Source organism: Homo sapiens, chromosome 4, assembly GCF_000001405.40.
Source record: "Homo sapiens chromosome 4, GRCh38.p14 Primary Assembly".
NCBI lineage: Eukaryota > Metazoa > Chordata > Mammalia > Primates > Hominidae > Homo > Homo sapiens.
Window position 1 is genome coordinate 121,340,309 of NC_000004.12, and position 15,939 is coordinate 121,356,247.

General features: G+C 35.2%; 1 protein-coding gene across 2 annotated transcripts in view; it reads right to left on the reverse strand.

Annotated features, from left to right (window-relative positions):
• Positions 1-15,939, reverse strand: part of QRFPR (pyroglutamylated RFamide peptide receptor) — a 52,377-nt gene that overhangs the window by 11,667 nt on the left and 24,771 nt on the right. For both annotated transcript variants that reach the window (NM_198179.3, XM_017008693.3), the window contains exon 2: positions 144-302. In NM_198179.3, the coding sequence (NP_937822.2) occupies positions 144-302 (159 nt within the window). The remainder of the gene's footprint in view (positions 1-143; positions 303-15,939) is intronic.

Genomic DNA, 15,939 nt, shown 5'->3' on the forward strand with positions numbered 1-15,939 from the left:
AGGGAAAGCACTGAAACTCTCAAATTATATTCCAATGCCTACAAGTTAGATAAGAAGCTACTCTTCTAGTTTAAAAATATGGTTCTCTATTCTGTAATGAAGAATGTCATTCACACTGCCATTGGCACATCCAGTGGCCTCACCTAGCATTGTGAAAGCCCTTCGGTTGGTGTATTGCCACTTCATTTTAAAAGGATGCACAAGTCCCTGGTGCCTTTCCACAGCAATGCAGGTCATAGTGAGGATTTCTGTCACAACAGCGGTAGACTGGACAAATGGCACCATCTTGCAAATGAAAGCACCTGCAGTAAGGAAATAGGACAAATCATACATCAAAACAAAAAGAATAAAGGTTTCATCTGTGTCTTTGTAATTATCACTATCAGTCCATTCTGAGCCTCTGCCAAAAAGTTTGATAATTGTAATTACTCTGTAGACACAAAATAATTGAAAAACATTGCATTGGTTTATCTTTCTCCCTCTAACTGAACTTTATGTTCCTAAATGCTATGCAATTATGTATAATAAGACAATGAAAGGACAAATCAGTATCTAGCCATAGAAACAGTGGAAAAAAAGCAATATGACTTTTGCTTGGGGAAGAGCAAAGTCATTGTAAACTGGCCTCCTGGGCTCTACACTACAAAGTAATCTTTGATTGTCTCTTTTCTTTTGGCTTCCTGGCAAATCACAACAAAGAATAGTTCTCATCAAAGACTCCCATATTTCTTCTTTTATCATTTATTCTCCTTTGACTCCCTGCCTAAGACTTTATATATGTATTACACCATTACACACCAAACTGATTTTACTTTCTCTAATGCAACGGTCTCAAAGTGGTGGCCACTAGGCAAGTTTTGGCCTGAAAACATGCTTTATTTGGTTACACAATAGTTTAAAATATTTGAATGTATTGTCAATCTTTTAAAATGTTTATACTATCTGTCTGGCCTCTTTACCATTTGGATTTGTGAGTCTTGGTCTGGCACCTCTGGTCTTGAACCCATGCTGCTTGCTGCTACCAAATTCATCATTCCCAGCTACAAGAGGATCATAAACTCAGGGAATGTGAAGTTGGAAGACTCATCAGAGGTTATCTAGTTCTAGTTTATACCAAAAGCAGAAATTCTCTCTTCAACTTCTCTCTGAAATGCTCTGCCAAGCTCTGCTTAAATACAGGTTGAACATTTCTAATCCCAAAACCTGAAATCTGAAATGATCTAAAACCCAAAGCTTTTTTGAGTGCTGATATGATGCCACAAGTAGAAAATTCCGCATCTTCCCTCATGTGACAAATCACAGTCAAAACACACAAAATCATTTAATATATTGTATATAACTACCTTAAGGCTACGTGTGTAAGGTATATAAGAAGCATAAATGAATTTCATGTGTAGACTTCGGTCTCATTGCCAAGATACCTCATTATGTCTGTACAAATATTCCAACATCCCAAAAAATCTGAAATCTGAAACACCTCTGGTCTCAAGCATTTCAGAGACGGAATACTCCATGGGAATACTCCTTGCTTTCACAGCCCCGCTTCAGGTCTTCTCATGGCTTTTTCTGCTCCTTGGAATGCTCTTCCCTGAGATCACTACCCCACATCCTTCCCTGAAGTCTGCTAAAATGTCACTGTGATGGTTAACTCTATGTGTCCAGTGGACTGGCTTAAGGAATACCCAGATAGCTAGCAAAATGTACTTCTGGATATGCCTGCGAGGGTGTTTCCAGAAGAGATGAGCATTTGAATCAGTAGAAGACAGGAGAAGATCCTTCCTTCCTAGTGTGGTTGGGCAGCGTCCAATCCACTGAAGGCGCGAATAGAACACAAAGGCACAGGAAGGGTGAATTTGCTCTCTGCTGAAACTGGAACTTGCACTTTCTCCTGCCCTTTGACATCAATGCTCCTGGTTCCCACACCTTCTGACTCAGACTGGGACCTACACCAACAACTCCCTGGGTTCTCAGGCCTGCAAGCTTGAACTGGATCTCCACCACTGGCTTTCCTGGGCATCTAGGTGGCAGATAGTGGATCATGGAACTTCCCAGTGTCTGCAGTTGAGTGAGCCAATCCCTCATAATTAATCTCTCCTAAATATCTCTAAAATATCTTATTGGTTCTGTTTCTCTGTAGAACCCTGACTAATGCAGTCACCTTCTCAATGAGGCTGACCTACTCTAACAATCATATTTGTAACTGAGCCTGTCCCATTCCCTATCTCCTCTCATTCCTCATTTCTTTTATTCTACTCTTTTCCCATTCTCTTTCACATGTTAACATACTGATATATAATATATATGCTGCTAATTTGTTTTTTATTTTTATTATTTTATTACTGTTTTATTATTTATTTACCCCTACTAAAATATAGATGCCAGAGCAATAATTTTTGTCTATTTTTTTCGCTGATGTATTCCCAGCTTTAAGAATGGCAATACGTTAGGCCATTAATAAATATTCATTGAATTGAAAAGAACAGATGAGTAGGAGGCTCATCACTCCTAAAGGCATCCCATTCTATTTTAGAGAGGCCCTAATTGGAAAAAGTGCTTTTAAATTCCACTCATTCCTAGCTTTGTTCTCAGAGTCTCAGAACTAACCAACTATCTTTTCCAAACAGTGGCTCCACATGTATTTGACAGAAGCCTTCATGTCACTCCTGTCTTTCCTAGTTGTCGCAGCTGTTTCTCATTTGCTATGCTTTTCAGAACTTTCAAAAAGGTGAATGGAGAAGGGAACGCCCATGGACCATGGCCATGCACCAGGCAGAAGGGAACTCACCAATGTTCAGGATATGGCTTGGCCAAGGCAGAAACTGTGGGACTGTATCGGCTCCCCAAGTCTGAACACCCTCTTCTGTAACTGAAACTGATGTTTACATCAGCCTTCTGTGCTAGACTTTTCAAATGGCTGGCTTCCGTTGAACTTGAAATCAACTTGAAATGAACTGGATCACTTTAATAGACATTTTGTTAACCCAAGACTCCCTTATCACCTATCCTATCCCTAAGGGGAAAAATGTACTTAGATATCACTCTAGATACTCCCTTCCCAATCCTTTTTGGGGGCTCCAAATGGCAACCCAAGAACCAATCCCACTCACTTCTATTCCTTGTTACAATTTCCCAAAACAAAATCCTGTTCAAACTTAAGGCCGTCTTTTATTTAGAAAGATGGTTTAGATGCCAACGGTGGGAATTTACTTTCAATGTTAATAAAGTCCACTGTGTTTGAATAGTTACTATACTGTGAATAAATCAGTTTACCTCAAGTCCTGGTTTGGATGTGGTACTTGAATAAATGAATATGGGTATAAATTATTAATCTGCATATTTATCCTAGGTTTTTTTTCTCTTTTCTTGCAAATTTAATCAGAACTTTTTCTATTGAGAAGAACCTTGTACTTTTTAACATTTTATAAATAATTTGGTTGAAAGGAAATATATTTTAAATACAACTATCCAAACAAAAGAAAATTTTTGCTGTATTCATTTTAGTGTTATCTCATTATAGTGTTATCCATCCTGAATATATTCAGTTTGTGTATTACAGCACAGGGTATCTGTCAATTGATTCATTGATATCAGTATACACTCTGATTCTGCTTTATCTGATTTCTTAGCCACTCTGAGCCTCAATTTCATTATTTGAAAAAAGGGATTAATAATACCCATCTGTCATAGGACTGATGTATTTCATAAAGTGACATAAACAGCTAATACTGGATACATTCTTTAATAAATGGCAGCTCTTTCATCATTAGGCAGCCCTATTAAAAGAATTAAGGTAAATATGATGCACTTGGGGCTGACATGTTCTTTGTGGATAAACTGACCATTAAAGAACACCTAATCTAATAACCTTATTTCCCAGAGAAAGACACTGCAGTTCAAAGAGGTTAAATGATGTGCTCAGGTCCACACAGCTATTTATTGACAGAATGAGTCCAGGTTGTCAGACTCCAGTTCCTTCCATTACGTCACCCTCACTTATCTTACTGTGCCCATGCTATGTGGCAGTTTTCTTGTCTACCTGCTCATAAATCATCTGTTTAATAACCCACCTGTGAATTTCACACCAAGCTATAGTATAATCTGTCATCTTACTGTTTTAATAAATTCAGAACAGCATTTGCCCTATTCATTACTTCTGACATTTCTCCAACCAGCTCTCTAAGAAATTACTGAGAGTGTTTCCTTGATCACATTTCCCAGTTTCTTCAATGTTCTGTCATGTAATTTATCTAGGATGTAGATTTGAGTTCTTTTAAAAATAGGTACATGCTCTTTTGCTATCTACTTACTTATCGTGGATATTTATTTTCACTCTAACCATCTTTGCCCTTTTTAATTGAGAGAGCACTTTTCAAGGTCTAGACGACTAAAACAAAATAAACACTGAAGACTTCTGGTTTTCCTCTGCCCTTCATTAAGCCTATCATCAACTCTCCCTTTCTTTTTCAGCTTCTTGTTCTGGTAATCTCTCTGTTAGCTCTTCAGTCAGCTTATTCTACCCTTTATCTTTCCCAATGTGAATTGTATGGGTCTAAATTATTTGTAAGAATGTGTCTTTTGTGACATTTCTTCCCATAAATCTGGTAATTTTAAACTGGGATAATCCTACATTCCCTGCATAGGAACTGTTTACTTGGGATATCCTTCTCTTTTTTCCTTACAGGATAATTAGATGTTAGTATCACAGTTGTGCTTCTTAAAGTCGGCCTGGAATGTGTATTTCTCATATTTTGATTTTCCAGCATCCACCTCACTTCTCCAAATGGCAACACAATTTCTTTTTAGAATATTAACTCTTCCCCACTGTGGGCAGGTTAGGTAAGAACTCCTACTTAGGAGGACAAAGCAGTAATAGGTGAGATCCTCTCTAGTGTTGAAAGGTTGAATGCAGATGGAAGAGAGGTTTGGGATGGTGTGGTCACGTGCTCACCAGATCATAAGTGCTAATAGGTCACTGCTGAGTTATGGCTGCTGACCTCTGAGCTCCCTTGGTCGCTTTCTGTTGTAGGTCCATTTCTTCAGCTTCACGCTGATCCTGTGAGCCTTCAACATCCTTCCAATACATTCTCTTCTCTTAAGTTACTTAGCTGTCAACTGTTGCTTGCAACGAAGTAGACTTATTTGATATACTTCTCTTTTGCTACCTTATTCTCTGGAAGGTAGGTTTTTTAAAAATGTAGTGTACTATGGGCTATGTTCTCTCTGTGTGTACTGTTAACTATAAGATTAGACAGTCCCCAGTCCTACTACTATAGTTTGCCTCCACTGCTGCTTCCATTTCTACTATGTCTGACTCTTGGGATAGAAGCTACAATTATTTTATTTTGCCTACTGGATTAGGAACAATTGCTTTGGTTTAATATCTACTGCCTTCCATTCTCAACTTAAATCATTTATACAACTCTATTGCCCAAAACATGGACCTTTTGCTCTCACTGAGAACAGTGTTCACTCTCCTATCCACTCAGCCACCACCACACAGAGCAAGTCTTAATTCAAAGAGAAACAAGACTACATTATTTCTAAACATGATGCTTGAAAATTGAAAACAGTTTGGGCAGTGTTCGTATTCACTTTAGTGTGTAACAGGGACTTTTAAAAGGATCTGAATGGAAAGGACAGAATGAAAAAAACCTGAGTCTTTAACCGTAGAGAAGATTTAAAACATTATTAATTTAGAAAATAGTATAATGAGGTATAATTGCATGAAAGTATCTAATGATAATAATTACTCTGTGAATAATTTGTTCCAAGGTTGTTGAAAAACAATGTGAATAGACACATTGCAGTTTCATAAAGGAAAGTTTACTTGATGCAACCACTATTTGAAATAATGGTCTAACAGATTATAAAACAATCTGGCATGTAATTACCTTAATTTCATGTGCCAAATAAACAAATCATATTCAAACAGTCTATGCGCCCTTGTCCCAATACAACCTGTAGGGTCCATAGGCACAGACCTGGGGGTGGAGCTCTAGCCAGGGACCATGTCCTTCTCTTCCCAGCACTTCCCTGCCCCTCTTCCTGTATCATTAATATATAGAAACGTGATTGTGTCTTTATCTTATATGCTGTGACCTTGCTGAACTCACTTATTACCTCTAGGTGTTTTTGTAGCTTCTTTGGAATTTTCTACATAGAAAATAATGTCATCTGCAAATACACTTGTATTTCTTCCTTTACAATCTGCATATGGTCACTTATTGTCCTTGTTTCTCTTAGTGGTTTTACTTTGAGTGCAATTTTGCATAAGAGTGGTGAGAAGCAGATATCTTTGACTTGTTCTCAATCTTAGAAGAAAAACATTCCGTCTTTCACCGTAAAATATGATGTTAGCTGTAGGTTTCTTGTAATGCTCTTATCAAATTCAGAAATCTCTGTATTACTAACTTGCTGAGAATTTTTGTCATGGATGGGTGTTGAAATTTGTCAAGTGTTTTCTTAATTGGTGTAATCATATGATTTTTTTCTTCTTTAGCTTGATGGATATGGTAGATTACACTGATTTTGGAATTTGAGCCAGCCTTGCATACCTGGAATAAATCCTACTTCATCATGATGTATAATCCTTTTTATACATTGTTGGATTCTGTCTGGTATTATATTGATATTTTGTGTGCCCATGTTCATAAGAGCTATTCGTTTGCAACTTTCTTTCTATTGAACTGTCTTTCTCTGGTTTAAGTGTCAGGGTAATGAAGGCCTCATAAAGTAAGTTGGGAACTATTTCTTCCAATTCTGTTTTCTGGAAGAGTTTGTGTAAAATTGGTGTTAATTCTTTTTTAAATGGCAAAATTCTCCAGTGAAATCACCTGGGTTTGGAAATTTCTTTCTTGAGAGCTTTTCAATTATAAATTCAACTTTTTTATTTCTTACATTAAAAAATGTTTTTATCAAAGAATTATGAGCATGTGGTTTAAAATCAGAAGGGCTACAATAAAAAAGAATAGGTGCCTGCCTATTTCCCATAAACCACTTTTTTTTAATTCTACTGCTGGGGGCACTACCATCTCTAAATAAATTGCCTTATACCGCTTTTCTTTTAATTTATTGATTTCAGATGATAGATATAGATTACCTTCTTGGGTAGATGGGCTATTGGTTCACTTTTGTCATTTCCCACTGTTGCTTCTCCCACAGCTTCTAATTTTCTTACAGTTATAACACTGTCTTCAATAATTTATTTGGAAAGGTTTTAGGGGATGTATTTCTTAAACTCTAGCATGTAGTTTCTTCTACTTTGACGCTTAAAGTAATATATTAACGCCCTCTCCATTAGTCTATTAACTTCCAACAGTTTATCTTGCCCCCCACTTGTGAGATGATACCTCATCTCTGTACCTCTCTCCTCCTATTTTCGCATTCTTCTTTCTCCAAATGTCTTTTATCTATAACTTTACATTTACTCTGTCAAGACTGATAGTTTTTCATTCTGTTCCACAGGATATTAAGTATTCTTCCCTTGGCCTACTTTTTAATTATAAAAGATTAAAACCATAAACAGCATTTTATTTACCATGACTAATATTAACTACAAAGCCAATGTGTATGTTTTAAATACATCTCCCTTTCAGTGACTTTATAGTCAAGATCCTTGTGAATATATTTATGTCTCTAAAGCATACCTTATTTTAATCTGCTTTTTATATGGATATAACTTTTTTATAGAGTATTTTTATTTAATTTTTCCTGGAATTTTGGGTTGTATTTCTTTTTTCTAGCTGGAAGAAGAAGATATATCTTCTTCACCACAGTATAGTAGTTTAGAGTATAGGCTCTAGAATTGGGCTGTCTGAGTTTGAATCATGGGTCCATCACTTGCTAACTGTGACCTAAGGCAAATTATCTTACTTCACTGTGTCTTGGGTTTTCTTATCTATAAAATGTGGATGATAATAACAGTACTTCCCTCATAGGACTGTTGAAGGATTAATGAGAAAACAAGCCTACTGTGTTTAGGCCAATGTCTAGTACTATGTGAAAATGCATTAGCTATTCTTATTATCATCATCATCATTTTTACTATTACATATCAACTTTTAACATCACATATATTCTGCTTGGGATCAATTCAAGTGTTTGTTCTTTTAAGACTTCCTTCTAGAAGACCACTGACTTCCAATTTTGATGACTGCAGTTTGTGTTTTGCTTTGTTTTATTTTTAATGACTGCTCTATAGCTGTCATCATTAAATTCATTTTCAATCAATTTCTTCTCCGGTTTCTTTAATTTCATGGCTTCTCATTTCTTGTATTTTACCTATATTTTGCATAATATTTTTCAAGTAACTTCTTCAAAATAATAAGGAAAGTAAGCTCTTTACATTCTTATATATCTTAAAATGGCTGTAGTTTGACTTAAATTCAACATCATCTGCCTTTAGAATGTTGAAGACCTTACTTTATTGACTTTTAGCATCCACTGTTGGTGCTAACCTGTCTATATTGTCAGCTTGATTTTTGCTCCCTTATAAATATCCTGGTTACGGCCGGGTGCGATGGCTCATGCCTATAATCCCAGCACTTTGGGAGGCCGAGGCGGGCTGATCATGAGGTCAGGAGATTGAGACCATCCTGGCTAACACGGTGAAAGCCCATCTCTACTAAAAATACAAAAAATTAGCCAGGAGTGGTGGCAGGGGACTGTAGTCCCAGCTACTCGGGAGGCTGAGGCAGGAGAATGGCGTGAACCCGGGAGGCAGAGGTTGCAGTGAGCCAAGATCGCGCCACTGCACTCCAGCCTGGGTGACAGAGCAAGAAGACTCCATCTCAAAAAAATAAAGTAAAATAAAATAAAATAAAATAAAATAATTATCTTGGTTACTGTTTGGAAGATTTTATTGATCTCTTTGTAATTAGAAATCTGAAATGTTATGGGGATGTGTTGAAACATGTGTCCTTTTTTTTACTCTTTTTCCATAGCCCTGTGTGTGCCTTTTACATTTGGCAACTCTCAGTCCTTTACCTCTGTGTTTTAATTTGTTCCTTTAAAAAATAACTCCTGTTGATCAGATATTGGAATTCCTGGATTGATCCTCCTATGTTTATACCTTTTATATACAGATATAGATATAGATACAGATTTGCCTATTTGCTCCACATTATGGAGATGTTCTTGTTTTTGTCTTCCAACTCTTCTAATTTATATATAATTTCAGCAATATTTTTATTTTCAAAAGCTTTTCTTGCTCCTAAAATAATTTCTTTTCAGAGAAGCTTGTTCTTGATTTATGAAGTCAGTCTCATCTTAAATCCAGACACATACCCCCCATTTAATATCATAAACCCCTTCCTGAAAATGAGATATTCTATGTGGAAATGTGCCCTCGTCACCGATTTCCTATTGTTTAAAAGGCCAAATTAAACATCTACCAGATTTCATTAAGTATAACTAAAACATAGGAAAGCCAGCATTTAAAATATAAAATCCTAAAATATTGGCCCCTGATTACAAAACAATTAGAATGGTTATCAAATTGTTCATACGCATGCTACTCTGTATCAATAACATGCCCATTTTTCATGGTACGTCATAAATATTTTTCTCCAATAAGGCATAGCAATCAGCATACAGCAATTTATACATGCAATAGAAAAATGCAGGTAAAATTTACAATGAAAATAGGGCAATCACCTGGGATGATCCGTTACTCCTGAAGAAAAAAGCAAACTGGAAACTTGAAGAAAGTGGAAAGGGAAGGATGGTTAAAATGTAGTTATTGTCAAGGCCTATGGAAAGTGACATCACAGGTGAGTTGGATGACAAAAAGGGCAATTTCATGCAAGAAACAGGCAGAGATTCTTTGTCATTTTCATTGGGTAGGGACTTGTAAATGATGAATGGATCTTCAGGGGATGCAGGTGTCATTTTAGGATGAAAAACTACAAAATCAAACTTTACTTAACTCTCTTCAAGTTTATGTTTATAGAATTTTTGGCACAGTGTTAGAAGAGTCAGGCACTCACAGTCCACCAAGTTCAAGGATAATATTCTTCACTGTATTTGTTTAGTCCCCATATTATTTTCAGCGAGCGGTGTCTGGTGGTTTGATTGAAGGCTCTCCCCGTTATCACTATGATCAACTATTTCAGATTGACATTCTGAACAAGTTTAGTACTTGATTTCTCAGCGTGACATTTAAAGAATCCATCAATATCTTTTTCAATCTCTTTTCAAAACAAGTCTTCTTTGCAAGAGTAACAATCACAAAGAATGGTTTACATTGAATAAAATGATATGATGCCTCTCTTAGTGTCAACATTCGGCACATGCATCCCTTTGTGAACACTGGACATGCTTTTCAAAACAACTACTTGTGATTTTGATGTATTTGGAAGGTATTTTATTTTTGGAAGGTAGCTTGATACTTTTCCTATATATCATTTTTCTTATAATATTAGATTATTGAGTTTGGGCACATAAACTTTTCTTATATAAATATCAGCTAAAAGGTCGCTGTTGAGTGATATATTCATTGCAGAAGTTTGAGACTTATAAGCCAATACTAATTCCACTGGGAAAATGTCAAATGAGGAGACATTCTTATGGATATGTTTTTATGTATAAAAATACTAATTAGAGTTTATTTCCAAATTCCCTTCTATGATTAACCATTTCTTCCAGGTTTCATTTATTCGTTTGTTTTGTTCTCCTTTATTCTTGGGCTTAATACCTAGGTGATGGGTTGATCTGTGCAGCAAAACACCATGGCATACGTTTACCTGTGTAACAAACCTGCACATCCTGCACATGTACAATAAAAGAAAGAAGGAAAGACAGCTTTCCTCAACTGTCTGACAATCCTTGGTTGTCCTTTCAGATTTTAGAATGGGACAGATTGAAAGACCACTAGCTGCTCCGTGTACAGGTAGGAGCTGTCCCCTGGAAAACTTTGACTTAGGATGAGTGGGTCTTGATATTGTGAGTCTCACAAATATCAGACTTTTAGGTTTTACTTTGTGGGAGCCACAGCTCATATGAATTCTGTAGTTCTCTTCAGAGTGCTTCCTTCAATTACTTTGTAAGAACTGTTTGTGTGTATATTCGCAGCAAAAACAAGTTCCCTAGTGCACAATTTTGTCTATACTGGTATGTTTCTTCTAATTTTCATTATTTTAATAGCTACAAATACAGCTTTAGAAAGGTAACTGAGTTGCTTAAACTTTCCACTAATGACAAAAATTAGATTTTCAAATAATAGAATAAAATGAGCCTGGGTTAAACATTAGGACAGTAAAGCAGAAATCAGAAATAATGGGGTTTCATTATGTTTATAATGTTAAAATAACCCATCATGAAGTAATAATGGAAGGAATATTTTTGTATACCAGGAAAGAAATGGAAAAACTTTAGGCATTAGAAAGAATTTCTTGAATGTGATGGTAATCAGGCAACAAAGCACATCATAAAGTGAACTTCCTCAGAAATGCTTAATAAAATATTAGGAGTACTTATGTAATTTATGTACTCAGTTGTTCACCAAAGATACAACTCCGAGTTAGTATAAAGTAATGTAAAAAAAAAAAAAGAATGTTTAAATAAATTGGGGTATGCCAATATAATGCAAATCATTCAATCATTAATAATATTTCAAAAGATATTTAACAATGCAACCAAAAAATGAAATTAAACAGTAAACAAATAATATATTCATGTACAGACATAGACAAACACTAAGAGGTTTCTATTTTGCTACAAATGTATGTGGGAAAAACTTAAATACACTAAATTTAATGCACTGATGTGATCATCATAATTCTCTCTGGCGGTTGGAATAAATATTTTTTGTTTTCTTTACATGTATTTGTTCTATACATTCATTAGAATGTTTTGGATTATGAGTTAAAAATTCAATTCAACTGGTTTAAACAACAAGGGAAATGTATTATCTAACATAAAAATAATTTCAGAGGTAGGGCAGTAACAGAGTCATAAATGCCACAGCTGAATGACTTCACTACAGTTCTGAGTTCTTTCCACTGGATTTCTTTATCCTCCTCAGTGTGGTTTGCTTTGTACTTATGATTGTCACTTTGGCAAATAAGATGACTGCAGTATCTCCAAGCACTGCATCTCAAAAAAGATTCAAAGACCAAAAGCAGAAAACGAAGTATGTACTTTCTCAAGCCCTTCATAAAAGTAAGGAAAACCTCAGACTTTATGGCAAGAATGTACTACATGCTCATTTAAAAAATCATCACTGGCAAGGGGAATTGAAGTTAAAACACTGGCCTAATTTTTTAAAAGTTATTTTTAATTATAATGAATACATAATGGTTATACATATTTACCAGGTACATGTGATGTTTTGATACAGGCATACAATATGTAATGATCAAATCATGGTCACTGGGGTATTCGTCACATCAAGCATTTATCATTTCTTTGTGTTAGGAACATTCCAATTCCACTCTTTTCGTTATTTTAAAATATACAATAAATTATTGTTAAACATAGTCACCCTATTGTGCTACCAAATACTACATTTTATTCATTCTATTTGTGTTTTTGTATCCTTTAACCATCCCCTCTTCACTACCCTTTCACACTACCCTTTCTCTGGTAACTATCATTCTACTCTATCTCCAAAAGTTCATTTTTTTTCTTTCGTTCCCACATATGAGTGAGAACACGTGACATTTGTCTTTCTGTGCCTGCCACATTTCACTCAACATAACGTCCTCCAGTTCCATCTATGCTGTTCTGAATAACAGAACTTCATTTCTTTTTATGGCTGAATAATATTCCATTGTGTGCATGTACCACATATTCTTTATCAATTCATCCATTGGTGGATATTTAGGTTGATTCCATATCTTGGCTATTGTGAAGAGTGCTGAAATAAACATGGGAATGCAGCTATCTCTTCAATATATTGATTTCCTTTCTTTTGGATGTATACTCAGCAGTGGGACTGCTGGATTGTATGGTAGTTTTATTGTCAGTTTTGTGAAGAACCTCCATACTGTTTTCCATAGTAGCTATATTAATTTACATTTCCACCAACAGTGTATGAGGTTTCTGCTCTCTCCCCATCCTGGCCAGCATTTATTATTGCCTCTCTTTTGGATGAAAGCCATCTTAACTGGGGTAAGATTCTATCACATTGTGGTTTTCATTTGTGGTTCTCCAATGTTAGTGATGTTGAGCATTTTTTTCATATAACTGTTGGCCACTTGCATGTCTTCTTTTGAGAAATATCTATTCAGATCTTTTGCCCATTTTAAATCAGATTGTTTATCTCCTATTAAACTGTTTGAGCTCCTTCTATATTCTAGTTTCTAATCCTTTGTCAGATGGGTATTTTGCAAATATTTCCTCCCATTTGTGGGTTACGTTTTCACTTTGTTGACCGTTTCCTTTGCTGTGCACAAGCTTTTTAGCTTGATGTGATCCCATTTGTCCATTCTTGCTTTGGTTGCCTGTGCTTTTGAGGTTTTACTCAAGAAATCTTTGCCCAGATCAATGTTCTGGACTGTTTACCCAGTGTTTTATTCTAGTTATTTTACAGTTTTAGGTCTTAGATTTACATTTTTAATCCATTTTTGATTGATGTATAATGGCAAGAGATAGGGGTCTAGTTTCATTCTTCTGCATATTGATAACCAGTTTTCCAGCATCACTTATTGAAGAGACTGTCCTTTCCCTAGTATATGTTCTTGGTACCTTTGTCAAAAATAAGTGACTGCAAATGCATGAATTTATTCCCGGGTTCTTTATTCAGTTCAATTGGTCTATGTGTCTCTTTTTCATGCTAACACCTTGCTGTTTTGATTCCTATAGTTTTGCAGTATAATTCGAAGTCAGATCGTGCGGTTTTTCCACCTTTGTTCTTTTTGCTCGGGATGGCTTTGGCTATTCTGGATCTTTTGTGGTTCCATATGAATTTTAGGATTGTTTTTTCTATTTCTGTGAAGAATGCCATTGATATTGTGAGAAGGATTGTATTTAATTTGTATATTGCTTTGGGCAGTATGAACACTTAATAGTATTGATTCTTCCAACCCATGAACATGGCATATTTTCCATTTTTTTATGTGTGTCCTCTTCAGTTTCTTTCACCAACTTTTTATAGTTTTCATTGTAGAAATCTTTCACTTCTTTGGTTCTGATAGTTTTTTGGTGGAGTCTTTAGATATTTTTTAAATTTCAGATCATATCATCTGCAAACAAGGATAATTTGACTTTTTCCTTTTCAATTTGGATGTCATTTATTTCTTTCTCCTGTCTAATTGCTCTGTCTAGGACTTCTAGTTCTATGTTGAAAAAAAGAGGTGAAAATGAGCATCTTTTTCTTGTTTCAGATCTTAGAGGAAAGGCTTTCAGTTTCCCCATTCAGTATGATACTAGTTGTGAGTTTGTCATACATGGTTTCTATCATGTTGAATATGTTCCTTCTATACCCAATTGTTTGAGAGATTTTATCATGAAAGATATTGCATTTTATCAAATGCTTTTTTGGTATCTATGAAAAAATTTCATATGATATGAAATGATCATATGGTTTTTGTCTTCCATAGTGTTGATATGATGTACCACACTGATTGATTCGCATAGGTTGAACTATCCTTGCATCCCAGAAATAAATCCCACTTGATCATAATAAATCATCTTTTTAATGTGTTGTTGAATTTGGTTTTCTAGTATTTTGTTAGAGGTTTTTGCATCTATGCTAATCAAGGATATTGGCCTGTAGTTTTTCTTTTTTCGTTGTGTCTTTGCCTGGTTTTTGTTTTGGGGTTATACTGACTTTGTGGTATGAGTCTGGAAGTATTCCTTCCGCTTTGATTTTTTTGTAACAATTTGAGTAGAATTGGTATTAGTTCTTCTTTAAGTGTTTGGTAGAATTCAGCAGTAAAGCCATCAGGTCCTAGACTTTTCTTTGATGAAAGACTTTTATTACTGCTTTTGTCTCATTATTTGTTGCTGGTCTATTCGGCTTTTGGATTTCTTCATGGTTCTATCTTGATAGGTTATAGGTGTCTAGGAATTTATCCATTTCTTCTAGGACTTCTAATGTATTGTCATACAGTTTCTCATAACAGTCTCTAATGATCATCTGAATTTCTGTGGTATCAGTTGTAATGTCTCCCTTTTTGTCTCTTGTTTTATTTGAGTCACTCTCCTTTTTTCAGTCAGATTAAAGGTTAGTTGACTTTGTTTATCTGTTCAAGAAAACAACTTTTCCTTTCATTGATCTTTTGTGTTTTTTAAAAGTCTTAATTTCATTCTTTTCTGCTCTGATCTTTATTATTCCTACCTTCTACTAATTTGGGGTTTGGTTTGTTCTTGTCTTTCTAGTTCTTTGAGATACATTATTAGATTGTTTATTTGAAGGTTTTCTGCTTTTCTGATGTAGGATTTTATTACTTTAAATTTCTCCCTTAACACTACTTTTGATATATCCCGTAGGTTTTGGTATGTTGTGTTTCCATTTTTATTTGTTTTAAGAAATTTTAAAAAAAACTTAAAAATTTCTTTATTGATGCATTGGTCATTGAGGGGCATACTGTTTAATTTCCACGTGTTTTTATAGTTTCTAATGTTCCTCTTGTTATTGATTTCTAGTTTTATTCCATGGTGGTCAGAGAAGATACTTGATATAATTTCATTTTTCAAAAAAATTTTGAGACTTGTGTTGTGGCCCAACATATGTCATAGCCTAGAGAGTGTTCCATTACTGAAGAGAAGAATGTGTAGCTGCAGCTGTTGAATGAAATGTTCTGTAAATATATATTAGATCCACTTGATCTATAGTGCAGACCAAGTCTGACATTTTTTTGGTTGATTTTCTGTTTAGATGATCTCTCCAGTGTTGAAAGTGAGGTGTTGAAGTACCCAGCTATTACTGTATTGCAGTCTATCTATCTCTGTCTTTAGCTCTAATAACATTTGTTTTATGTATCTGGGTGTTCCAAT